The 25,948-nt window shown below is 46.4% G+C and overlaps 1 protein-coding gene across 9 annotated transcripts in view, besides 7 other annotated features; it reads right to left on the bottom strand.

The window, feature by feature from the left end:
* The window catches only part of FLI1 (Fli-1 proto-oncogene, ETS transcription factor), a 128,136-nt gene that overhangs the window by 53,868 nt on the left and 48,320 nt on the right, over nt 1–25,948 (bottom strand). For 8 of the 9 annotated variants that reach the window (NM_001440370.1, NM_001271012.2, NM_001440371.1 and 5 more), the window contains exon 2: nt 1,074–1,285. In NM_001440370.1, the coding sequence (NP_001427299.1) occupies nt 1,074–1,204 (131 nt within the window). In that variant the 5' untranslated portion in view covers nt 1,205–1,285. Of the gene's footprint in view, nt 1–1,073; nt 1,286–11,109; nt 11,164–25,948 lie in introns of all 9 variants that reach the window. The other variant, NM_001167681.3, reaches the window with a different exon arrangement.
* Nucleotides 658–1,158: an enhancer, noted in NCBI's record as "H3K4me1 hESC enhancer chr11:128628137-128628637 (GRCh37/hg19 assembly coordinates)". NCBI's record gives its function as "activates a minimal SCP1, AML or CMV promoter by ChIP-STARR-seq in primed H9 embryonic stem cells {active_cell/tissue: H9 hESC(primed)}" and the evidence as "EXISTENCE:reporter gene assay evidence [ECO:0000049][PMID:30033119]".
* Nucleotides 1,159–1,659: an enhancer, noted in NCBI's record as "H3K4me1 hESC enhancer chr11:128627636-128628136 (GRCh37/hg19 assembly coordinates)". NCBI's record gives its function as "activates a minimal SCP1, AML or CMV promoter by ChIP-STARR-seq in primed H9 embryonic stem cells {active_cell/tissue: H9 hESC(primed)}" and the evidence as "EXISTENCE:reporter gene assay evidence [ECO:0000049][PMID:30033119]".
* Nucleotides 1,716–1,975: an enhancer, noted in NCBI's record as "active region_5740". NCBI's record gives its function as "activates an Ori minimal core promoter by ATAC-STARR-seq in GM12878 lymphoblastoid cells {active_cell/tissue: GM12878}" and the evidence as "EXISTENCE:reporter gene assay evidence [ECO:0000049][PMID:35858748]".
* Nucleotides 3,602–3,721: a silencer, noted in NCBI's record as "silent region_4064". NCBI's record gives its function as "represses an Ori minimal core promoter by ATAC-STARR-seq in GM12878 lymphoblastoid cells {active_cell/tissue: GM12878}" and the evidence as "EXISTENCE:reporter gene assay evidence [ECO:0000049][PMID:35858748]".
* Nucleotides 24,806–25,351: an enhancer, noted in NCBI's record as "OCT4-NANOG-H3K27ac-H3K4me1 hESC enhancer chr11:128603944-128604489 (GRCh37/hg19 assembly coordinates)". NCBI's record gives its function as "activates a minimal SCP1, AML or CMV promoter by ChIP-STARR-seq in naive H9 embryonic stem cells {active_cell/tissue: H9 hESC(naive)}" and the evidence as "EXISTENCE:reporter gene assay evidence [ECO:0000049][PMID:30033119]".
* Nucleotides 24,806–25,394: a biological region, named in NCBI's record as "OCT4-NANOG-H3K27ac-H3K4me1 hESC enhancer GRCh37_chr11:128603944-128604489".
* Nucleotides 25,105–25,394: an enhancer, noted in NCBI's record as "active region_5739". NCBI's record gives its function as "activates an Ori minimal core promoter by ATAC-STARR-seq in GM12878 lymphoblastoid cells {active_cell/tissue: GM12878}" and the evidence as "EXISTENCE:reporter gene assay evidence [ECO:0000049][PMID:35858748]".

Raw genomic sequence — 25,948 nt, 5'->3', positions numbered from 1 at the left:
TCGCTAGTCTTAAGTCACTGCTCTGATGAGGTTAAATGTCACGTCTGTGCTCAAAGTCAGCCTCTGGGTTAAATGTCACATCGGTGCTCAAAGTCAGCCTCTGGCTGTGGAATAAATGGCACATGTTTTCAGCCTGCCATTCAGGGCCCTCTGTTGCTTTTTATTTTCATCTCTTTGTGCCTTTGGCCCAGTAGATTATCTGATATTTTGTGAATAAGACTGATGTTCTCTGTCTTTCAAGTCTTTGCTCATAACAATCACTGTCACTATAGAGCACTTTCCTAACGCGTCTCAGGCACCATCCCAGGTCCTTTCCCTGAGGCATCAGAGTAACGCTAGAGTAAGGACCATAAGGAAGTGAATATCCCAGTCCTGTTTGAGAAGGGAGAAAGCTGGTGCTCTGAGGGGTTTCGATGACTTGCCCAAGGGGCAGAGGCAGGACGCAAAACTGAGGCCGCCTGTCCACTGTCCTCTTCCATGACCCTGTGATTTTCTCTCCCTGGACCCTCCTGTCTCCATTTCTACAAGCAAAGCCCGAACTGACCCAGTATTGTACCCACTTCATGCACGCCTTCCAGGTGCCTGCCCCCTCCCAGACACAGTGAGCCCCCACAGGAAGGTAGACACCTTCCTCATCCCTTCTCCACTCTTACTAAAGAATGGTTTGGTCACCTTTGCTCTGCTGAGACCTGCCCAGAGGGGTTAAGTATCTTCAACAGGACAGGGAAGAGTAGCTTATTGCTAAGCTGTCCCCAACAGGACTGGACCTGGGCCTGGGATTAACAAGAAATAAGTGTTCCACGAGTGTCTGCATAGGCGCTTGGGGCCTGACTCCTACCTGGCCTCTGAGGGCTTCGTGGGCCCCAGAGAGGCAGGGGGGCTTCCTAGCCCTACTCCACCCCATCATCAGTCTGTGGCCCTCTCTGCCTTAGCTCTCTAGGGACTGACACAGGCTTCCTGGCCCAGCTCTAGAGCCCCATCTGCTGCAAAAACCTTAAGTGCCAGAAGCCACTTGCTGCAGATCTGGCGACTTTGTGCCTTCCCCCAATCCTGCACAGGCCTGGTGAGCTTACCTGGATCCATTCATGTGGTCATACTCCCGCTTGACGTTGACCCTCACTGGCTGATTGATCCACTCCTGCTGTGGTGGGAGGGGGTTGATCTTGTGGGGCTGCCCGTAGTCAGGACTCCCCGAGGCAGTCATGTCGGCCTTGGGGAGATGGGCTGCCGCTCCGTACGCTGAGTCAAAGAGGGACTGGTCGTCGCTCACCACCGACAGAGCCTCCTGCAGGGCCAGAGAAGAGACAGAAAGCCCAGTGTCACTCTTCACCCAAGCAAGTGACACTCTTGCTTTGAGCTGGCAAGGTGGCCCAGGGCTGCCCCAGGACAGCTTGTCTGGAAGTTCCTGTTTGACTCACACTCCAGGGGGCAGGTTTGCCCTTATGCAAACCAGATGGGTGTTTGCAGGTTACCTGGGTGAGGAGGGACTTTGGGCAGTGGAGTGGGGATGGAGGAATCATGAAAGTGGGTTTGTTTATTGGTTCTGTAGTCTGGGACCCCCAAAAAGGAGGGTGGGGATAGGGAGGCCAAGAATAGTGGTGACTTGGCATGGAATATAGTATTGTGGTGGTGTGTGAATGCTAGATTTTTCCAGGCATAAGCAGAAATGCCTCTTACGAGCTGAGTGGAGTCATCAGCAATGAAGGGGAGATGAGATCCAGCATTTATTTTCCAGGCAAGGCCAGTGAGATCCACCCAGAGAGGCTAGGTGTGCTGCTCAAGGTCACACAAGGGAAGGGTGGTGCCCATGGCTGTGGCCAGGCCAATTTCAGTTTCCTTATTTGTAACAGGGATAAAAATAGTTTTAGCACAGAGTCGATAGGTGGATTAAATGAGAAGATCTGGTGTGGGGGTGTAGCTTGTAAGAAATGCTCAGTGGTTTGCTGAGGGCCCTCTAGGAGGTGCTGGTGCATCCTGTAGATCTCAATGTTGATGACTCAGCCAGCCAAAGGACGAAAGAGGAACCTCAGACACGTGAAGTGCCAGTCAGGGCAAGACCCTCCAAAAGAGGTTGTTGGGTCCTCCCACTCATATTATCCCATCACTGACTTGGGTGTGACTTTGGGAGATCATGGATTAAGAAAAGAAGCCTTGGCCAGGCATGGTGGCTCATGCCTGTAATCCCAGCATTTTGGGAGCCTGAGGTGGGAGAATCTATTGAGTCCAGGAGTTCTAAACTAGCCTGGGCAATGTGGCAAAACTGTGTTTCTACAAAAACAGAAAGAGAGAAAGAAAGAAAGAAAGAAAGAAAGAAAGAAAGAAAGAAAGAAAGAAAGAAAGAAAGAAAGAAAGAAAAAATTAGCTAGATATGGTGGCATGTGCCCAGCTACTTGGGAGGCTGAGGTGGGAGGATCACTTGAGCCCCGGAAGTAGAGGCTGCAGTGAGCCGTGATCGTGCCATTGCATTCAGCCTGGGCGACAGTCTCGAAACAACAACAACAACGACAACTAAAAAACTTTGCACATTCCGGAGATCTGCTACCAATCAAAACATGAGGGTAAGAGTCTCCCATTATTCCATGTCTCATCGAATCACAGGCATCCAAGGTCAGGGACCAGGGCATAGTGTTCACTACAGTCACATAATTACACCAAAGTAAGTCTTCAGAGAAGATGGTAGTCATCTATAATTGATCTATAATCTATATAATCAATAATTATATAATCTATAATTGTGATAATAGTTGTGATAATACATGCAAAGTACTTAGAAGTCTCTGGCACATAGTGAGTCACACTCAGAACATGTTAGGTATCATGATTATTAGCATTCAAACAAAGATTCTCTTAGGCCACCTGTTAGGGGCTGCCTTGTGTCCTCACAAAATTCATATGCTGAAGCCCTTACCCGCAGTACTCAGAATGTGATTGTATTTGGAGATAGGACCTTTAAGGAGGTAAGGTGAAATGAGGCTGATAGGGTGGGTTCTAATCCAATATGACTGGTGTTCTTATAAGAAGAGGGAATTTGGACACACAGAGAGCCCCCAGGGGAGTGTGTGCACAGAGGGGCTGCCATGTGAGGACACAGCAGTCATTGGCAAGCCAAGGAGAGAGGCCTCTGAGGAAAACCAACCCTGCTGGCACCCTGATCTTGGACTTCCAGTCTCCAGAACTCTGAGCAAATAAATTTCTTTTGCTTAAGCCACTCAGCCCTGGTATGTTGTTATGGAAACCCTAGCAAATGGATACACCACCTTTACTTGAAAATGTAGTGATAGGTGAACAGCACTTGTTAAAGCTGGGATTTGTCTACCTTCCTTGTGTAATTCACATTCCTGAATTGAATGTCTTCTTCAGAATGAATGCTCTTCATATGCCTGTAGAATTACAACCTGCTCCATGGGCTGTCTCTTGTCTCCCAGGGCCATTCTCCACCCCAGCGGACAGACAGCCATAATTCAAAAAGGGAGGCTCTTCTATGGCTGTTTTCAGCTGGGATCAGGGAAAAAATACTGGAATATACTCTAGGAGTCCTGCTTTTGCACCAGAAGGCTTTGGATGGTGTAGGTGCCTCCAGACATACATTCAAAGCAGAGTTGCCCACACAATATTAAAACACTTACATCCCCCAACCGAGGGGATCTCCCTAGCCCTAACATCTGCTGGGATCCTTCTTCATTTTCTACCAGATGCCCTTGAGTCATGCTCAGAGTAAAGCTGTGCTTGTCAGAACCATTTGTTTCTTGGTTATTATATCCACTCTTGATTTCAGCTAGAGTTCAGCTTTGGCTTCATATCCTAAATTTTGAACTGTTATCTGGGCTCAAGGAATTATGGTTCTGAGCTGAAAAGGGTGACATTGCAACCTTTCAGACAGCTGTCCCTGACTCCATGAAATTCCTTGAGCTCCGCACTGGAAGCAGAGGACACATTACCACCTATGACCCCTAAGTGTCTTTTGGTGATAAGAGTGAAGAACATGTACCACAGTCCTGCTACAAAAACAGATGACATTTCAGGAATCAGGTAGCATCTTCTGCTGTAGAGAATGGCTTACGTTCTTAGTTTATCATTCATGAACCTTGGAGTTTCCAGTAAAATAATTTCTTTCCCTTCCCTCTTCTAGGTTGGGGGAGAAGATGACAGAATATCAGAGGCAAAGAAGCCCGGGAGGCAGGGCTGGGCACAGTGATGCTCCATAGATGGGCAAAAAGTTCCTCCCATCATTATCCTAAGGAGGGTGGACCAGGCAACAGGGAACACAGGATTGTCCTGGCCAAGGGGACATGCAGACGGCAAAATCAAGACTCACAGCAAAGAGAATACACAGAGAACACAAAGCCAGCGGTTCTGGAGGCAGACCCAGGAGAGACTTCTTAAGGAAGTGAGTGGTACACAGCTAGAAAAAAACAAGTGATGAGATAGAGTGTAGGTGTAGAAAGGGCACAAAACCAGTTTGAACTCATTTTGGAATAGAAGTTTCCTTAAGAATGTAGTTCACAATCAAGGAAACTCCAATCAAGTGGCAACATTGTAGGAGGAGAGCGTCCCGGTTCACCGGGAATGCCTCACACTTCTGTCCAGTCTGGGCATTTCTCTCTGAGACTCTTCCCTCCCTGACGACCCACTGACATGCTCTTCCCTCATTCAGTACACCTTGTGCGCTCCCTGGCTGGATCCAGCTCCCTTGCAAGTTGTGAATACTGCTGTCATCCTGCCACAATCTGCTCAAAAACCTCAGAGAGCTCCCTAGAGATGGACCACAGCAAATCTCTTCTCAGCCACTTGTCTTCCAAAGGTCATCTTTGTCCCACCTGCCACACTTACATTGCACAACTTCCTCTTGCTGCAACTTGTGTCCAATTCTAACTATTCTCACTGCTCCACTAGACAAGCCCTACTCAGGTATGCTTCTGTGCCTTAATTTTGTGGTTCCTTTTGCTGCAAGTAACCTTTCTTTACTCTTTCACCCTGATGCACAATTATCTTTGCCATTGTGTAAGGTAAGTGAGATCTTCCTGAGAGCTTCCTGTTTCCATGAAACCTTTCTGATGATGACCTATGACTCCTTTGAGCTGTTAACAGCTCGTGAGAATACTGCTTTGGGTATGCATATGTGCACACACACACACACACACACACACACACACACACACACACATCCCCCTTCTATTTGCAATCATGGCTAGACAAAAAGCTTTTTTTCCATTACAATGTAGAGAAAAGAAGAGATAGATCATGGGGGCTGTGAAGAGAGAGAAGATGAAGGAGAAGAGTTCCCTGTCTGGCTCACTGGGCTGAATTTGAAAAGCCAATATGGGCAAGGGAAGGGAGGTGAGGGCCCCTAAGTGGAATAAAAGATTTGGGGAGATAAGGCCCCAGACAAGCTGATTTGAGACCCAAGTGAAAGAGCAGAGTTGGGGAGGAGAGCATTCTTGTGGCTTCTGCAAATAAACGGCACCCCTTTTTGCAGTTCAACAGCTTTAGGAGCACCCCAAGACCATGCCCTTGGCAAGTACACTGTCATTTTTATGATGCCACTGGTAGTAGGGAGCCCTCTCCAAATTGCTCTGGGAAGACCAGAGTAGGGACGGAGGAGGCAAACAAGAGGAATGAGTCTGGGCAACTTGATGTGGCTGCTGCTGTCTGCAGGCGAGGAGCTGCTGAGCTGGCAGAAATTTCACTTATTTGCAGCTTGTTACACATGAGGAGCTGTTGCTACTTCATGTGTGTCTTATAAAGCTCTTTACTTAAACTCTTAAAACTTTTTAAAGTTTAAACTTAAAACTCTTCCTTGTACTTCAAGCTCTTTACAGAAATGAGCATGTTGCTAGCGTTCAAGAACTTTCCACGGATAAATCATCAATAAGTACTTAACTGAGGTGATAGGCTGGGTGTAGGAAGAACACCAGCATGCAAATTCACCAGCCATCCTCAGAGGGACTACATTCCTTCCGTTTCTCATGACTTTGCTTCTCCTATTGTTGCTGATTATTTTATTCAAGGGAAGAGAAGTTAGTTATTATTTAAAAGACTTGTGGGGTCCATGAGGCTTTAGACCATGCTATGTAAAATTGACTTCCAAGTGAGAAAGACAGGAGGCGTGGGCTCCTAGCCCTATGTGGGGCTCAGCTCTGGGGTTCCTTCTTGACCCAACAATTGTCTCTGTAAAAGGAACCCCTGGGCTGGCTTAGTCATTGGCTTCTGAGAAGCACTTTCCTTTGCAGAATGCTGGAAAGGCTGGGTCTGTGGGTCCAGAGCCACTGAGTCCTAGATCCAGAGGGTGGCATAGGGTCCCTTGTTCCAGGCAGGGAAGTGCCCCAGCACATTTGTACCCAATGATGCCCCTTTACCAGAGACCTCTGGCAAGGCAAGCTGCTTGGGGTGGCATCTGAGCTACAGCAGATCACTCACATTTGCCGATAGAAATGCTTGCTTTCCACGACCCCCTCCTGGTCCTGGATCCAGCTGGGGCCTGCTACCAGTAATGCACTTGAACCGGTGGGATACTTTTTCTCCTCCAGTTTGGGCAAGGTGCCTTTAGTACATGATATAATACACCCTCTGTCGTCGTTACAGAAAACAGATAAAAGTGGTAATAATCACAGCACTTATTAAATACAAAACACTGTTTACATGAGTAACCTAATTTAATCCTCCTGGCAATTCTATGAGGGATGTATTCTATTTTTTCAGATGAGAAAATGGAAATTCAGAAAAGTGAAATAACTTGCTCAGGCACACAGAAAGTTAGTGTGATGTGGGATCCAAATTCAGGTCTACAGCCTAAGCACATAACCACTACTCTTCACAGGTTCTTTCTTGTGAATTTTCTGTCCTCTCAATTAGACCATAAGCTCTTTAAGTGTAACTCCGGTGTTTATTGTAACTTAGAGCATAAATCTTGAGTCAGAGAGATTTGAGTTTCTATCCAAGCTTCATCTGCTGCTCATTACGCATCTAGTACAATTTCCAAGAACTTCATTTCCTCATCTGTAGGTTGGGGATAATATCAGTACCTGATCTGGTAATTCTGGATAAAGATAAAATGAGATAATATGAGTAAAGTACCTAAATCAAGCACCTGAAGTTCTTGGGACAAAGTAAATACTTAAAAATGTGGCCAGGCATGGTGGCTCATGCCTGTAATCCCAGCATTTTGGAAGGCTGAGGCGGGAAGATCATCTGAGGCCAGGAGGTTGAGAACAGCCTGGCCAACATAATGAAACCCTGTTTCTACTAAAAATACAAAACTCAGCCAGGTGTGGTGGTGGGTGCCTATAATCCCAGCTACTCAGGAGGCTGAGGCAGGAGAATCGATTGAACCCAGGAGGCGGAGCTTGCTGTGAGCCGATGTAGCGGCACAGCACTCTGGCTTGGGCAATAGAGTGAGCCTCTGTCTCCAAAGAAAAAAAAGAAAAAAATTGTTTAAAAAGCTGGGCACAATGGCTCATGCCCATAATCCCAGCACTTTTGGAGGCTGAACCGGGTGGAATGCTTGAGCCCAGGCATTCAAGACCAGCCTAGGTAACGTGGCATAACTCTTTCTCTACAAAAAAAAAAAAACAAACCCAAAAAAAAAAACCCACGCCTGTAATCCCAGCACTTTGGGAGGCTGAGGTGGGTGGATCACGAGGTCAAGAGATCAAGACCATCCTGGCTAACATGGTGAAACCCTGTCTCTACTAAAAAAATACAAAAAATTAACCAGGCGTGGTGGCGGGTGCCTGTAGTCCCAGCTACTTGGGAGGCTGAGGTGGGAGAATGGCGTGAACCCGGGAGGCAGAGCTTGCAGTGAGCCGAGATCACACCACTGCACTTCAGCCTGGGCGACAGAGCGAGACTCCGTCTCAAAAAAATAAATAAATAAAAATAAAAAATAAAAAAAAGGTGTGGTGGTGTGTCTGTGGTCCTAGCTACTTGGAAAACTGAGGTGAGAGGATCACCTGAGCCCAGGAGGTGGAGGCTGCAGTGAGCCATGATCATACCATCCATCCTGGGCAACAGAGTAAGACAGTGTCTCAAAAAAAAAAAAAAAGTTAAAAAAAATTTTAATGAAGGCCAATGCTGAGAAATGGCGTGAGAACCATTGGGTTGGAGATGGGTCAAGAGGGAGTTCAGATAAAGCCAGAGCGATACCTACTTCTCCGAATGTTGATTGTTTAAAAGATTAGTTGCCTAAACTACTAATAAGTAGATTTGGTGATGATAGAGCCTGAAATGCAAATCCCATGGGCTCCTAGAGTACAGAGCCGATTTCACTAATCTGCGTGTCCACTCTTCCTTTAAAACCATGGGTGTCATTCCATTGCAGGCTCAGTCCTCTGCCTGTCTCTGGTTTCTGAGTCCAGGCCTCTAGGTGCCATAGATAAGGCTCTGTTACATAGCCTGAATAGCCCTGTGAATGAGGAGAGGAGGCATCTGTTGTGAGATAATGAAAATGGTAGGTGGCTAGCACCTATTTATACTGTTGTTCGTACACCACATACTCAGTGAATATCAGAAGAATGGCGTGGGTACATCTGTGCATTCACGAATTTAAAAATTTCACTTATTTTGGAATTTGTCACATATGTGTGCCTATATGCATCTTTTCTTGTTATACTTACAAATGTGTCTTCCAACATTTGTTTTCCTTAGATTAAGTCAAATGTTACTTTTCATGTGCACATGAGTTGAGTGATGGGATGTGATCAGAGCATGGCCGCACAGTGGCCTGGCCGATATGAACGATGAGCAAACCATTGCATCTTCAAACAGTCTAGCTAAGGCCGAGATGGAAAAGCCTCCAGAGGGGCAAGGAAAGAAGAAGAGGGTGGTTTGAGTATCTCCCCATTTCACTCGGGAAGACATAACAGAAATTTCTGCCATTATCCTGTGTGTGGGAAGGAACAAATATTTCACAGTTATGAGTCCAGTGGAGTTAGAGGAGGAAAAATGCCAGAAGTGGACATGAGTGGGAGACCCTTTCCCTCTGTTCTTCCTTATACGTAGGCTGAGCTTTATTTCTAACACAGAATGACCCAAGACATGGGGCCTGAGAAGCACCAATGTCCCATTGTGTCCTTCCCATTCCTTTCCCTCTGTTCTGCCCTGAATCTCCTAAGGACAGTTGTCTGGGGCTGACCAGCTTGGCTGGAGGTGTCTGGTGAAAGGAATGTCAAAAGCAACCAGACCAAGTTCCCTGTGGCTGCCCTGCTCAGTGGGCCCACTCCGCCGCTCCCAGTGCAGGGCTCTGGAAGGCTAATCTCTGGCATATCCATTACCCAGGGTCACCACAGGGAGCACGCTAGTTTTGGCTTTTTATTACATTATTTGCATAATGACACGAAGTCCCTTCTCTTGCCAGTCGGAGAGAATATGAAATGCGAACAAGATACTTAGGTGCAAAGCCCTCTGTGTTCTCTGCTTTGGGAAACCAGCAGGCTCTGCAGCAGTGGGGGTGATCAGCCTGGGTTGGGGTCACTCCAAGTCTCATCTGAAGTGCCAAGAGCAGGTGGCCGCTGTTAGCAAGGCCAAGCCTTTTGCTTCTCTCTCCTCTCTACATGTGCGCATTTCTTGCTCCTCATTTCCACTGCGTAAAGGGCAGGGAGGGAAAAGGGAAGAGGAGGTAAATTTTATGGAAAGTTGGATAAGGAAGAAGGTGGGAAACATTAGTCAGTCATCAAGCATTAACTGAAAACTCCTTTGCATGAGGCACAGTCGCATTTTCTCAAAATGACCATCAGAATATTTCTTATCTTTGCCTCTCTCTTCCCATCAAAAGGCAGAGCTTATTTTCTTCCCCCTTGAACTCAGATGGAACTTTATGATTGCCTCAAGAAATGGCCTTGCGTGACTTCCGGGACAAGGTGATAAAGGTATTATGACTTCCACCTGCTTCTTGTTCTCTCTTGGGCCTCTAGTCCGTGGAAATCGCCACCATGCTGTGAGGAAGCTCAGATTAGCCCAAGCTGAGCAACCGTATGGAGAGGCCCGCAGGAGAGGAACCGAGGCCACAGCCAACCACAGCGTCAACCTCCAGACTTGAGAGTGAACGAGCCTTCAGTGAAGGATAACAAAACTCATGAGCCTAATAATTGGTTTATGCCACTAGGTTTCGGGGTAATTTCTTATGTAGCCATAGTAACCGGAACGTCTCCGAGCATTTTACTCAGCAACCGAAAACCCATATTCAAAGGCTGTAGAGGTGACTGTCTGAGTATCCTTTCACTGTGGTTATTGACACTGGCTGGCAGGAATCAGCACCATGACTGTCCAGGTGGGGAAACTGAGGCACAAAGCATAACCCTTCTAGGTTCACACAGTGAGGGGGGAATCGATCTCAGAATTAAAGTCTAAGTCCTCTGATAGACACATAGTGGAATTATCTCCAAACGACAAAAACAAAATAAACAACAGACAAAAACCAAACAAGGACCACATTTTTAAATGAGAACGATCAAATAGAACATGTATTATTTGATGACTTGAAGTTTCCAAGGAACTTTTACTATCATCACCTCATTTAACCTTTTAAAATATGAGTTAGGATCCTCATATTATTGAAAAGAAAATTGAGGCTTAAAGAGGTTTGCTACTTGCCTCTGGCCCCTCACCTCATGAGTCTCCATGCTGCTGGCCTGACTGCAAAGCTTCTACTCCTCCCCTAAACCGTTTCCACTTTGCCGTCTCCAATTTTAGGCCGTAGCACACAGCCAAATCTGCCACAGAGCTTCAGAGTGTCCGGCTGACTTTTCTTTTCTTTCTTTCTTTTTTTTTTTGAGACAGAGTTTCACTCTTGTCGCCCAGGCTGGAGTGCAGAGGCGCGATCTCAGCTTACCGCAACCTCTGCCTCCCAGGGTCAAGTAATTCTCCTGCCTCAGCCTCCTGAGTAGCTGGGATTACAGGCGCCCACCACCACGCCCATCTAATTAGTAGAGACAGGGTTTCACCATGTTGGTCAGGCTGGTCTCAAACTCCTGACCTCAGGTGACCCACCTGCCTCGGCCTCCCAAAGTGCTGGGATTACAGGTGTGAGCCACCGTGCCTGGACCCCGGCTGACTTTTCAAGGAGTCTTGTTGAACATCATTCCCCCTCCCAAGTGCCTTTCCCCTTTCACTTACAATTCCACTTCCTGGGGAGGGGGCTCAGCAGTGGATGACCCAGAGAAAGAATTCCTAGAAGATGCAATTGCAATTATTTGCAGACGAAAGTACTTTATTTAATGGTGTTTTACAAATGAAGGGTATAGCCTAAGTGAGCACAGAGAAGAGGATCTCTGCATCCTCCCAGGACTGTACCCTGTAACAGAATCCAGAGCCATGGCCTTCTGTGCCTCACGGGCCTCCCGTTCAGTGCTGCTCCAGGTCTCCCGTGGTATTTACCTTTGCCTGTTGACTTTGAGTGTTCACAGTCACTTTTTTGACCATAACCACATTTAAAGGGCATCTCTAAAGATCAAAGTTAAATTCTCCTCCCACAGAGAATGCTTTTACTGCTGAAAAGCAAAAAGTGCTGAATATGGAAACTCACAGGATGGGAGATAGAACATTCATCTGAACCCCACGAAGAGAACATTTTACAGTGTGTTTTACTTTCTGTTTCTTTACACTGGGTCTGTCCACTGTCCAGTGGCTTTTTCTAGATGGCAGTGGGAACCACAAAAGGGTCGGCAATGCTCTACTGGGTGTAATTCTTCACACTTGACCGTCCGGGACGAAGCTCCTCTCAGAGAATAAAGTAGGGGGTGGCCTGACCATTAAAGTAGGTCCCACAGTATCAAAGGGACAGCGCAAAGCAAAGCCAGACTGAGATGTTGAGACTTACTACCATTAAGCAGCTTAGATGTTCTCTTCTGTAAGACGGAGCCAGTATTCTCCCACCTAGCCGGATGGGTAGGAAGTATTAAATACAGGCCTCACTGGAGCAAAGGTGGGATGATAAAAATGGAAGCAGCAACCACCACGACAAAACCCACATGGCATGGGAGAACCTGCAGGGAGGGCTGCTTCTGGGAAGGCCACCTGGATGCACCAGCACAAGTGCTGTCCCACATACTTTTCCCTGGGACTCTATTCCGCCAGATGTCACTGGAGTGGCTGTACCCGTCATGAAAAATACTGCAGCACAGCCACACAGGTGGATAAAGTGCTGCTGCGCTGAGATTCGTCATTTCCCTCCTCTGCTCTGGGACAAAGAAAGGGCAGGTGATGGGCACCGTGTCTCCTCCAGAACCCTGCTTCAAGACAATGGGCTGCTGTCTTGCAGCCCGCGCCTTACAGATTGTCATGATGTGAATGTTGTCCCTGACCTGGGGAATGGTTTCCTGATCCCAGTGATGGTGCCGCCTGAGGATGGGTGAAGATCTGGACCACACTGGGAGCAGCCTCTTCCTGCAGAGGAGCCCTGGCCATCCTGGCTGCAGATGGGGTCAAAAGGCAGCCAATCACCACACTGCTTGCTTCCCTTCATGGACAGCTGCTTTAAATCTGTTCTAACAAAAGGCACTGGCCACCAGCTGGGTCAATGTGGAGCTTTATTGGCTGTGCAACTTTGGGCAAGTTACTTAATCTCCCAGCTCCTGGACATTTTTAACCATCCTTTACTGAAAGTTTCATGCTTTCCGATGATGATAAATGGTCAGACTTCCCTGACCACCAAGAGCTGAAAGTTTGGAAGAAAAGCTTCCGTGGGGAGTGACTGCAGTGCTTCCTCGTGGAGTGAATTTCACCCACTGCAGGGTTGAAATAGTAGCCTGGGAGCCAGGATGGAGTTCCGGAGCTTTCCTATTGCTTGAGAAAGAGGCTTCTAAGAATGTCCCTTGAGGCCTGGTCTTTATGGGTCTGACCTGGCAGCTAGACCAAGAGGATCTCAATCTGGGTCTGCAGGGACAAGAGAGGACTCTGCGTGACAAAGGGAAGGTGGGAGTCAGAACATTCAGATCCTAAAGGATGGGCTCCCACAGGGGAAGCAGAGGCTTGTCCACCAGGGGTGGAGGCGGCAGGTTCTGCAGTTTTTCTAAGCCTTGAGGAGAGGAAAGAGTGTGGATGGCATGTGCCCTTGGTTGTCTCTTCGATTCCTGGGGTCATGGGAACTTTCCTATTCTTTTTCTCGAGGACAAATTCTAGTTAGGCACCCTGAAGAGAAGAACCTCATCAGTCTGATTCCTGGTTTTCATCCCCAGTTGTTGGCACACTTCCTGGCACCTAAGAAGTGTGCAATGAATTAAGTTAAATAAAAACCTCAGCGCCCGATGGGAAATGCAAACCCTCCCTGCCTGCCCACACCTCCACACCAGCCAGACTACCCCTTCTATCTTTGCGCTTTGAGTAATTTTGATGAAGCCTTCCCCCAAGGCTTGCCTAATTTTCTTTTAAAGCAGCCACACCCAGTGACTGTTTCTTGTTCAAATTTAAACATGAAGCCACTGACCACTTTCCCCAAACAACCACTTGAGGTCCTATTCCTAGAAGCTATGATCTTATCCGACAATTTCCTCACGTGGCAGTTGCCATGGTAACCGGGGCCCTTACAATCACAGGGAGCCCACGAGGAAACATGCATATGGGGGGGCTTCACTCCCTTCCAGCAACACCCAGAGAGCAGCCTGGCAGGGGGACGAAGGCAAAATCAGCCTTGCGAAGCAAGGACGTCCTGCCTCACGCACACAAGCCGGGACGCTTTGTGTGACTGGCAGCAGCCAGAAAAGAATGCCGCTTCAACTCGACGCACAGATGAGGCGTGCATCCATTTTATTTCGTTTCCTCTCAGGGCATGGGGACAGGGGAGACCCTGAATCCGTTTTCCAGCTCTTAATGGCCGCTTCTTTTCCGTGATTCACGGCTGAGCCATGCTTGGTGACCTCAGGCCCATCAAGTCAGGAAGCAGGTCCTGAGGGTGCAGTATTTCCAACTAGCACATCTGGGTGAACTGCTCTGTCCAAGGTGTTTAGTTCTTTTGTGGCTCGGGGCATATGGTTACCATATTGTTGCTGTGACATGTGGCAGAAACCTTGTGGATGGGAGTGATGGAGGGAGGTGGGGCCTGGGGAGGTCCATTTTCTGGGAGAGCTCGGCAGCCAGGGCCGTCTCTGCGCAGTTCCTGTGCTCTATTTCATTCTGCTCCTCCTTTCCTTTTGTGTTCTCTGTTCATTTTCCCTCTGTCACCTTCAATTGTTCTGCCCTGTGCTCCCATGCCTTCTCTTTCTTGCTCAACCTCCTGCATTTTAAGGTCCTATTTCAAATAGTTTTTCTTCTTGTTATGTAAGACTCCCCCACCTCTTTCTCGCCTGCACTCTTAACCTTTGGAGGCATATTTAATGTACATTTAATATACATATGCAGCTTCACCTGCATAGAATTGCCTCCCTGTCTTCTCTGCCTAATCATATCTCATTCATTCACCAAACTGTTGAACACCTCACATTCTGCCTCCTCCAGGAAGTCTCCCTGCTCACTCCAGCCCAGCATAAGAACCTCCATTCTGCTGAAGTCTGTTGGCACCAATTTGGCACTTTATCTTAGACTGCCTTGTCATGTTGCTTTTATATTTATTTAACCATTGCCTTCCATTGTTGTTTTTCATAGTTTATGTTCTATCTCTCCTACTAGATTGAGAATTCCCCACGATAATTTTCTTTGTGCTTTTCTGTAGACATGATTGCCACTTACTAGCTGAGTGAATTGGTTCTCCCCTTATCCATAAAATGGGCACAATGACAGCACCCACAGGGTTTTGATGTGAGGGTTGAGGGGGCTCTCCATTCTGCTGGTTTGTGAGAGGTACAGTCTGTCATCTTTGACATGTTACCCGCAGAGCCAGACTGTCAGGATCTGAATTCTACATCTACCACTTGCCAGTCTTGTGACCTTGGACAAGTTCTTTAATCTCTCCATGCCTCAGTTTCCTTTTTGGAAAACTAGCGATAATAATAGTGTTCTAACTCATGCCTATCACATAGTAAGCCCTCCCTAAATGTAATCATCTTATTATAATTCACAAATTATAGTACAGAAAAGGCACTTTATCTCTCTGGGCTTATTTCTTTACCTACTACATAAAAGGACTGAGCTACATGATCCGTAAGATCCCTTCCAGGTCTTCAACCCTAAAATCTATTAGTGGAGTGATTCTACAGCCCCTTTACCTGGAACAGTTCCGCTTTATGCTGTTGTTCCAGGAAATGCTTATCCCGCTCAAAATTATCCCACTTTTGTTGATGCATTATATGGCCACTCTGTCTACGAGTAAGCTCAGATAACTCAGTGTTCATGAGCTTCATGGCCCCATTGATTGTCATCTTTGCTCTCCCTTCTAAAGGGAATCAGGGGAACTGAGGACAGCCTGGTCTCTACACGAGGAGCCAAGCATCCTCTCATCACAGAGCTCAGACTCCCTCTCTGGTGCACAGCTGGTCCCTCCATTGGCAGCTACCCTGGAGACAGTCACTGACAGGGCTGGCCTACATCCTGCTTGACTGGAGTGCTAAGCCTGGACAGTCCAGCACAGGGGTCTCCTGTCTCCCGGCATCCATCTACAGGAAAAGTAGATATTTTGTGAACAAGTCCTGCTGTGGTCCTCCAAAGAAAACATTTCATTGGGTTTACCTGGAGATGTTTTCTTTGTCAAGCTCAGTAAAGCTAGCTGAGCAGAAAACCCAGCTAAAACCCACGGACAGTTCCTGGGGGCTTGGGACTGGTTTAGTTACTCCATAAGGGACAGTTAGTGTTCTATTCTTGGAAGCTTCTGGAGGTGCCAACCTTGCCCAACAGAGCCATGCCTGTCTGTCTGTCTCAAGGACATGTGTCTTCAGGGCAGGGAGGCTCAATCTCCACATTATAAAAACTTGTGGGAAATGGATAATTAACCTACCAGGTGGACATGCCCTGAGATGTCCCAAACCGCCTCAAAAATTTCTGAGCTCCTTTGTCCCGTTCAGTTCCATTTTCCTCAGGATCCATTGTCAAAGCCTGCCAAGTGGTCAAGTTCTTTTTTTTTTTTTTTTTTTTTAGAGACATGGTCTTGCCATGTTGCCCAGGCTGAAGTGCAGTGGCATGATCACGGCTCACTGCAGCCTCAAACTTTTGGGCCCAAGGAATCCTCCTACCTCAGCCTCCTAAGTACCAAGTAGCTGAGACTACAGGCACACACCACCATGCCAGCTAATTTATTTTTTTATTCTTTATTTTTTGTAGAGACAGGGTCTTACTATGTTGCCTAGGCTGGTCTTGAACTCCTTGCTTCAGGTGGTCCTCTTGCCTTGGCCTCCCAAAGTGATAGGATTACGGGCATGAGCCACCATGTCCAGATGGCTCCCAGTTCTCGCACTGCTACTTCCACCTGGTTTTCTGTGTGATTGAGATCTCCCATGTTCATTATAGGTTGGTGATGTTCATGAGAAACCCAAAGTCAATGAAGCCAGTGAAGCCAACCTTCTCAAACCTTTCTCTCTTGGGAAACTGTGAGAGCAAAATGTCCATGGGGAACCTTGTGGTCCTCTTGCTTCTTTTAATCATGAACCAGAAATGCTCTCAGGTATAACATCAGCCTGAATGGCCTGTAAAATGTGCTGACGATTCCACGTAAAACCAACAAATGCATACTCGTCAGCATCAATCTTAAAATAAAATCAGGATCAAGAAACAAAAACCTTTACCTAAACTTCTTATTCATTTCCATAGAAAGAAGTTGAATTCTCTGATTTGGTCCAGGGGAGATGACTGTGACGCTGGCACTGTTCTAAAATCTGCACCATGCAATGCAGAAGCAACTCGCCTTGTGAGGCTATTGAGGACTTGAAATGTGTCTGGTGTGACTGAGGAACTGAATTTTTAATTTTAGTCAACTTTAGTTCATTTGAATTTAAAAAGCCACATGTTATGAGTGGTTACCATCTTGGAGAGCACAGGCTGTGGACACTTGTGTTTGGTGACCAGACTATGTGCTCCTCGAAACATGCAAAGGTCACTCTGGATATTTCTTTAACATGTCTTGTCTCACAATGGGGCCATAAAACAGATTTGTCACACAAAAGAACACTCATTCACTGATGCATTCATTAATTTAGCAAATATTTATTGGATATCTTCTATGTGCTGGGCACTGTTGATAAAAGCCAGGAATATGTCTATGGAAAAATGATGCCATCATTTTAATGGCGTTGTTGATGACTATGAGATTAGGAGAATTGTGGGACTTTTCCTCCATGGAACTGGCTAAGTTTCTACAGTGAGCTAAATGGGTGAAACGCAGATTATTATGGGAATATGCATGGTAACCCTGGACAAGTGAGTAGCTGCGGCAAACCTGCTGTGTAAACACAGGCTGTGCACACAGATGGGGAAGTGACGACAGGAAAGGAGAAAAGAGTCTGAATTAAATATGGTAGGAACGATGCTATGTTTGAAGCTTAGATGAAATAACAATAAGGTCCTCAAAAGCATTCTGGAAAGCACATGGCATTTACAAATGGAAGCAGTGCATTGTCACCGTCACTGGGAGCTCCCGAGACAGTCCAGGCACAAGCTTCCCCAGCCTCCCCCACTCAGCATCCCAGAAACCAACCAAGCAAGGGAGCCATTGCCTCAGGAGAAGGTGGCAGAACTTGAAGTAAAGAGGTGGTGCAACTGGCTACCAAGGAAGGGATTTCAGAGGACAGGAAAGCCGTGAACTGAGCAGGAATCGGGGGGAGGGGCAAAGGCATTAACACTTCATTGGCTCAGGGACTTTCTGGTCACAGAGAGCCAGCCAGGACCTCAGATGAGCCTTTTATCCCCTCCTCTGCAGATCACACAGCAAGAAGGAGAAGGGGACACAAAGGCTTGACTGTGGCACTTTCTCCATTGTTGTGGCTCTCACTGCAGGGTCCTGAAACACCCATTAGATCTGGAGTCCTCTGGAAAGGCGGGAGAGAGAGTCCACAGTAAGTTGCCCCTGCATCCGGACTGGCTGGGGGCTCTGGCCTGAAGAGTCACCGTAGGCAGAATGACTGTGTCTTATTTTATTTATTTATTTATTACTTTTGAGACGGAGTCTCACTCTGCTGCCCAGGCTGGAGTGCACTGGCACGATCTCAGCTCAATGGAACCTCTGCCTCCCGGGTTCAAGCGATTCTCCTGCCTCAGCCTCCCGAGTAGATGGGATTACAGGCGCCCATGACCACACCTGGCTAATTTTTGTATTTTAGTAGAGACAGGGTTTCGTTATGTTTGCCAGCCTGGTCTCCAACTCCTGACCTCAAGTGATCCGCCCGCCTCAGCCTCCCAAAGTGCTGGGATTATAAGCATGAGCCACCATGCCTGGCTGAGTGACTGTATTTTAAACCAGAGCTTGCAGACTGTGGGCCTTTAGCCCCTTAACTCATTGCTGGTGCTCCTTAAATGTCAAACCCAGCCTGGGGATGCTGGCGTGCCAACGTGCCTGGGAGCTCTTCCCTTTTTCCCTCTGGGTTAACAACAACGTTGGCATGAGAACGGGATCTCTGTGGCTGCACCTTCTCTCCTTCCTCATCTCTCCACCAGCCTTCCTTTCTGTTCACCTAGTCCCCATCCCCATTAGCACCAGGCTGAGGCCCAAACATCATCTAAGCAACCACCTACCACCCCAACTCTAAGAAGTGGCCTCTGAGCTGTAGGGGTGTACCCCTCTGAAGGGAGGACCCTATAATACTAATCTACTCCTGGTCTGACTGCCAACATTGTCTGATCTAAGTGAGGAAGAGCTGATCTAAAACATTGCTGTCATAACCCAAAGGGATTACTGAACTGTAGTTTGGGCGGGGCTTCTCCCTCCCTCCCAGCAGACTAACCCTCCTACTTATTTTTAATTTAAGCTAATGTGAAAATATTTGCATTCTCTGAGCATGCAGAAAATGAACCAGGGCAAGTGGGGGAAAAAGTGGGGAGCTAAAAGTATGTTGGAACCATGATTAGGCCAGCCTAGGAGAAACAAGGTTGACCATATTTATGGGGTCTCGTTCTTTGGCGAGCCAACAGTGTTTAAGGATTTCTCTGACTTAATTACAGGACTCTCATGGGTCATGACTTCTGTAACCAAATGTTACTTTGAAAGGGAAGAAGTGAATAGATAGAAAAGGTTTTGTCTTTAGACACCATAATTTGTCGTGACAACATTTCCTCTTTCAGGCCCGTGTGGGTCCCTGGAGAGCCTTATGGAGTGCACCTTTCAGGTTGGAGATGGTCTGATCTCTCTCTGTCCATGTACTTGTGCGTATACATTCCCAAATATTTATTTCACTAGGTAGCTTCTCTTCCAACTCCCGCTACAGGCCTTAGGGTTTCTTGGGAGATTGCTTTCTGCGCTTATGGGGCAGAGATGTGGGGTGGAAGTTGGTGACAAGGAGACATCTATTCCCTACCAATATTAGGGCACGTGAACCAAGGCCCATGTGTCCCTCACACGTGGGGATGAGAGACCTTGCCAGTGGCTCTGGCCAGGCCTGATGCGGCTCAGACGTGGCCCTTTGCTCCCACAGCTAGAGGAAAATCCTGTCAAAATGCCTTAACGATCTTCTAATATTTCCATGCAATTAAGGCCACATCTGTCTCCCAGGCCCCCACACTCCTTTGCTGGTGCACAGACATGAACCAAACAGTCTGTCTTGTCGATCTGGAAGGTAACAAAGAGCTCCATTCATAACTGTAGGCACTTTCACCATTTTTTTTTCGAAGTAAAATAGAGTTTTCACTTTGAGAATAACCTGTGTGGCAAGCAAGCGAAGGATTTTTCCCCCCTAATAAATCAAATTCAACAGCCTAATAAAATGCTGGCTCCCCCTGCCCACACCACTGCCTCCCTCCCTCCCACTGTCCCACTCTCAGCCAACAATCCTTGGGAATGGAGAGTAGTGGGCAGACCCAAAGGAGGTAGGGAAGGTGAGCTGGGAGCAGATGAAGTGAATTAAAATGCCTTTTGAAGGCTCACGGGCTTGTTTGGCAGATTAAAGACTGAGATGGGTGGGGCAGGGGGGTTGAGGGGTGGGGGCAGCAGGAGCGTAAGGAGTGTGCCTTTCCCTTTCCCTCTCTACCTACTTTCTCAGCCTTTCCGGGCTTGTTTTAAAATACTTGTTTTCTTCTCCTGCTCCCTCTACCCCACAGCTCATCCCCATACCTTCAGTAAACCTGCTGCTTCCTTTTTTTGCATGGGGAAGAGCAAGAGAACCACGTTCCTAAGAATGGAGCAAGTGCTATTGGGCCACACCTGCAGCTGAAGCCCCGGGGAGGAGTGCCTGCCTGTCTCCTCAGAGCAAGGCTAAGAGATCTCCCTCAGCCTTTGAAGCCTCCAGAGAGTGAGTTTGCAGGAGATAAGTGCTGATAAACATCGAGTTTGGTGCTTATCCGCAGCAAACATGATCTTTTGAGGTTCTCTCTGCACTCATAAGCCATAGAGACTCTAATCAGAAAACAGAAGGGAAAATGCAAAACCAAGCAGTATTTGCTGCTGATTTTTCTTCTTTTTTGTTTTGTTTTGTTTCGGTTTACACACTGAAAAGCCCAACATAGATACTGTCATACAAGAGACTCCAGAGCAGAAATGTAGCCCTGGGTCTTTGCTTTGCTTGGGTTTTTTGGTTCTGACATCAAGGGAAGATGTCTTCACAGAGCTGCACATAAAAAGGATGGGCTGGACACTAATAACGACGACACCTGCATCCAGCATTCTCCTTTCCAAAGCGCTCTTAGTCATTGCATTGTCTGGCCCTCATGGCAACTCTTTAAGGTAGGTGGGACAGACGGTTCACAGGTAAAGAAACTGCGCCTGAGCTAGGATATGTGATTTGTCCAATGTCACACAGCTTGAAGTGGGGTGCCAGGAGTAAAAGCCAGATCTTTCTGGCTGCAAAGCTGGGCTCTGTTCACGCTATACAATGCAGAGGCTCAGCAGCTAGAAGATAACCAGGAATCAAAGGGGCCTTGAACTTGGGTGTCCCACCTGGAAGCATTTGGAGAGCTCAGGCGGTAGTGGATGAAGTCAGGTGGAGAGGGCTTCGGGCTTTGCATCATTTGAGTAATGAGAGAAAGGTGAGGCCTTGGTTGTCTTGTATTTCAAGGCATTGTTTATATCTTATTTCTTAGCTATGGGATATTAGCAAAAAGCAGATGTGGAAGATGGAGTGTAGAGTAGAAACAGCATGGAGCCAGAGGTCCAGGGTTCTGGTCTCTGCTCCTCCCCTGCCCAGGTAGCGGGTCTTGAGTTTCAGTATTTTCTTCTATAAAATAAGGCGGATGGCACTTAAGTCAGGAGAGCAGGGTGACGTTAAGGGGAGCATGGAGAATGTTTGCTCCCCTATAAACTCATTCTTCTAAAATTATACTGTAATAATGACAATATTAAGGTAAAACCTTGCCATGACTTGTTAAGGCTCAAACAATGGTAGAACCTCGTCTTGTTGATCCCTTCCAGCTTCAGAACTCAATGGTATTGTCATGGGAGTCTTGAATTTGGGGAACTGCTGATGACCATTTAAGTCCATAGAGATAACAGGCTATTTCCACACAGGTTTTGATTAAGCAATCCTACTTCTGACAGCCAAGCAAGCCCTTGATGTTATATATCATAAGCTCCGAGCATTTGTCTGCAGGTAGATAGAAAGTGAACCTTCCACAAGAACCTCACAACAAAAGTAACTGGAACTGAGCCCAAAAGAACATTTCCTAAGGCTAAAAGTGACATCATTCACATAAGCTATCTTAGGTACCTCAATAAGCCCTGGATGGCCATTTCTAGGATGGGAAGTGAGATTATGGGGTACCCTGAGGCAAGAGGGCTTTTCCTCGATCTCTATTTAAATTTTCTACAGAATACATTCATGCATCATTTATTTCATTTAAAATAAATTTTTAAAGATAAAGGAAAATAGAAATGTCTTGTTCACAGATGAGTTCATGGTTTGGAGACAGAGCTGGACTACATTCTTGACAAAGATTTGTTCAAGTTCTAGAACTCATAGACATTAGAGAGGAGGACCATGTTGAACAGAGCTCGTGTTCCGGTGTGGTGGGGGCTGTGATGGGAGACGCATGCCCCATATGTGTCTATCATTCAAGCCTTGTTTGTAAAAACCCTCCTTTCTGCTTCAGCGTTTGTCTTTTTCAGCTCCCAGTGAAGGAGGCCTGACAATAGTGTGGTGAGGTGGTCAGGGAACTAACCCATTTTACAGATGAGGGAGTGGATGAGCTTGCACCCTGGCCTCCCCTACTGTGTCCTGCTCCCACTGAGCCCTGCCATCCCTTCCATGTAGCTAGCTGGATTCAACAAACTCAGTTTGAAAAAGGGCTTTCCGAAGTCCCTATCCACTTGAGTTAGATCTACTGCAGAATACTGCCTCTTGAGCACTGAAAGATATCCATATTCTTTCACAGAAATATATACATCTTTTTGAAAATGTTTGGTTGGGTTTGTGGTCGGAGGCTTGGCATGGTTGTTTGTTTGTTAGAATGTGCCTCCTTTGGGAAGAATGCAAACCAGGGGCTGTATTGGGATGCTGAGTCAGGCTCTGCCCTCAGTGACAAGGGGTCTTTGTCTTGTTCATGGTTCTCCCCACACACCTGCATACACACAGATACCCACAAAAGTGCATTTTGAAAACTAATAAAAATTGCACTGAAAATATTTAACTTATGCAAATACTACTATAGCAGAAAGTACACACATATACAAAACAGCAGCTATCTTTTCTAGAATCTGAACAAAATTTTCTGTTGATTATATATACAGAATTTGCTGAACATTTGCCTTGGGAAACCAATAAACAATGCAGTTATTGGTCCACTGTCAGCTTAGGCTTCTGTTTTGAGATGTTTTACCTATAGTGGAAATTGTCATCTGTACCTGGCATGTTTCTGGGTGTGTCTAAAATGAGCATGTCTCAAGAAATCTTTCCAGGTTCCTACATTCTCAACCAAAGTTGCTCAAGTGAGAAAGCAACTCAGGATATCAAGCTACCAGTTAGAATTTCAAGTATGACAAGCCTGCTACAAGAGTGTATCTTATCTGTGGCCTCTAGGGTTTCAGAAGCCAGAGGGCTCATGCTACCGCCAAAAGCTGTGGCTTACCAACTCGTATCACCCCTTTCATTGGAAGTTTCTTAAGATTCCAAAATGTGAGAATTATTATCAGGTGTTCTTTGTCTAATGATGTCTGATTGCTCTGCATATATGAATGAATGCCTACAGCTCTTCGGAAAGGAAAGCAAAGAATAATGTTCTTATGCTGGGCGGGGGTGGAGGGTGGGGACTTAGGGGGTGGTTGAATGTTCAGCTCTAGTAGCTTGCATTTCCTGTTTAGTGGGTGTGAGGGGTTTACACAAGAAAGTCTCAGTGTTACGCTAGATGGATAGCCTCATCGATCATGTCTAAGGAATCTCTGCCTAAAGATGATCAATTTGGCCTCTGCATACCACAAGGAGGTTTCAGTATTTAAGAACTTCGGGATCAACCATGTCCTAATTCTAGATACGTGTTTCGATTGTCTTGTCCTATTTGTTCAAAATTCCCTTCAAAGTTAAACAATTTATCAGGCCAGCTCATAGGACCCTTGAAGGAAAATTTGAAAAACATCTTATTATTCTAAATACTATTTTCTGTTTGCAGGAATGATATGAATTTGCAAAGAGACTTGGCATCTAAAGGTGGGGGGAGGCTCAGGAAGCCCTAGGAAGTTCATAAGAACTTTACAACTTAGTTTCCAAGTTCAGACTTCTGGTTCACTCAGCTACCTAGGCCATCATGGGTCACACAGCTGTGATAAAGTTACCTTTCCTATCTTATCTAGACATCTGATAATGTGGATAATGTGAGGATTATTTCTCCATCATCAAATTGATCTCTAAAGGAATTATACCAAACATACAGTCACAAAGTTCTCCCAAATTGGTGATCAGCTCTCTGAAAATTAAAATCAAATGGTATCTTAGGAAGTATGCTATTTTCTTAGATGTATCCAAACCTTAGAAATAAAAAGCCCACCTTAAATCCATCAATACAAATAAGCGATAACCATGATTACTTCTATGTTATTATACAGGACTTTAAATATACACTGAGGTGCCAGAACAAAGTCCTAGGCTGGTTGAATTCTTGTGTCCAGCTCCATCTCTGCCTCTGTCTCTTTTTAATGGAACAGGCAGATGATGCATTTTCTAGACTTATTTCCCCTCATTTTGTTGTTATCAGTAATAATAATGACAAGGAAAATTGTAGATTATTTTATAGTTTAAGACATTGATCTTAATAGGAGCCTTCCCACATCTATAATCTTATTTAATTACTCTAATAAACTGGAGAAGAAGGCAGGATTATTCCCCTCCCCCACTTTGCTGATGAAGAAACAAAGGTTCTGAAGGACTACGTTCGTGGTCATAAAGCGGGAAGGGGAAGAGTGTGAGGCCAACCCTCTGGACTCCCTTCCGTGGGGCCCTTTCCACGAGGCTGCACTTTCTCAGCTGCATTCTTTGCCCACAAACACTACAGCAATTAGTACATTTATTTTTCCATATTGATACTATTTTTCTTTCCCTTTTGATCTTGCCCCTTTGGTTAGATGGTAGGCGATTTTAGGGCAAGATCTTTATCTGTTCGTTATTTACCGTTTGAACTTTCAGTGGGCTCATTAGGGGTCCAGGGACATTTGCTGATTGATGGCATGCACTGGACATGAGCCTGCTGGCTTTGACATTTTAAAACTGCACACTTCCCTCAGTGACAGTATGCCCAAGCAACAGGCCTCCCTGACATTTTCTCAAAACCAGGAAATGAAACTGGCCACCAAGAGCAAGTGACCGCCAGCCAGGGCATTGGTGCAAACCAAGCAAAACACACCACAGTGCAGGCAGCGCGGGTCACAAGGATGAAGGCATTCGATCTGCAGTTATCTTTGAAGAAATGTAACATGTTCCTTCCTCCCACCGTGGTTTCAGCCACAATCATCCTCCTGTTTTAAACAGGTTGAATTATGTTCCTATACAATATTTGTACACAAAACCCAACCTTAGACATGCTTTTCCCTATGATCTTGGTCTCTGCACACGCACGAGAATAGCCTTCTTCCATCTGAGTACTCAGCTCGATCCTGCTTAGCTTCCAAGATCAGATGAGGCACGTTCAGAGCACTGTGGACGTGGACAGCGCAGCCTCCTCCAAACGTTTTGGCTGAATTGGAGGACAAAGCAGGGCTGTTTAATATGCAAAACATCTTTTTCTCGCATTTTCCTTTCTATAGCTTCCCCTGTTTAACCACCCCTCTCCACCTCGCTTTTAACCAAGTCAAATCTTTGGCAAATGGTTTTGGGGATATTTTTCAGCACGTGGTAGCAAAGATATTTTCTGTCTGTGGCCTCGGAGCCCCTGGGCGCTCTGGGGAAGCTGCCATTGCACAGGTAGCAGTACTCTGAACCCCTGCAGCTCAGCAGCAAGCCCCGGTCATAATCATGTGCTCTGTCGCTCCTCTCCTCACTGTGCTGATTGCAGCCCAGATAGGAGGAGCATGTGGGAGCTGACTCCTCACTGAACAATGACTTGAGAGAGAGAAAGACAAGAACTTCTTTGCATATGAATGCATCAACATGTGCCTCTCTGGGTACCTTTGCTCCATGTGAAAGGAAGGGAGGCAGCCAAAGTGACCCTTGGCTAATTAGACAAAGGCAGATGGGCACAACAGAGAAAACTTCTGCTGGATCCAGTATTTGCACAGCTTCAGGGACTTTCAGCGCACAGCATCTTATATCACACATGCATAACATTCCTGCCAACTGAGTCCAAATGGCGAATGTGATCTTTGTAGCTTGACCTGTGACACCCAACAAATTCTAGGCAATGGTTGGATTTGCTGTCTGTGACTCACTTTGCATGTTTCCATTATTTTTATCTACTCTGGCCCACTAACTTGACCGTGTTCACTCAGCATCAGCCAGGTTCTAAAGAGTGAGGGGAAGCTGAGAAAGCTTGA

Source organism: Homo sapiens, chromosome 11, assembly GCF_000001405.40.
Source record: "Homo sapiens chromosome 11, GRCh38.p14 Primary Assembly".
NCBI classification, from domain to species: domain Eukaryota; kingdom Metazoa; phylum Chordata; class Mammalia; order Primates; family Hominidae; genus Homo; species Homo sapiens.
Note: the sequence above shows the minus strand (reverse complement) of the source record. Positions and strands in the feature narration are given on the sequence as shown.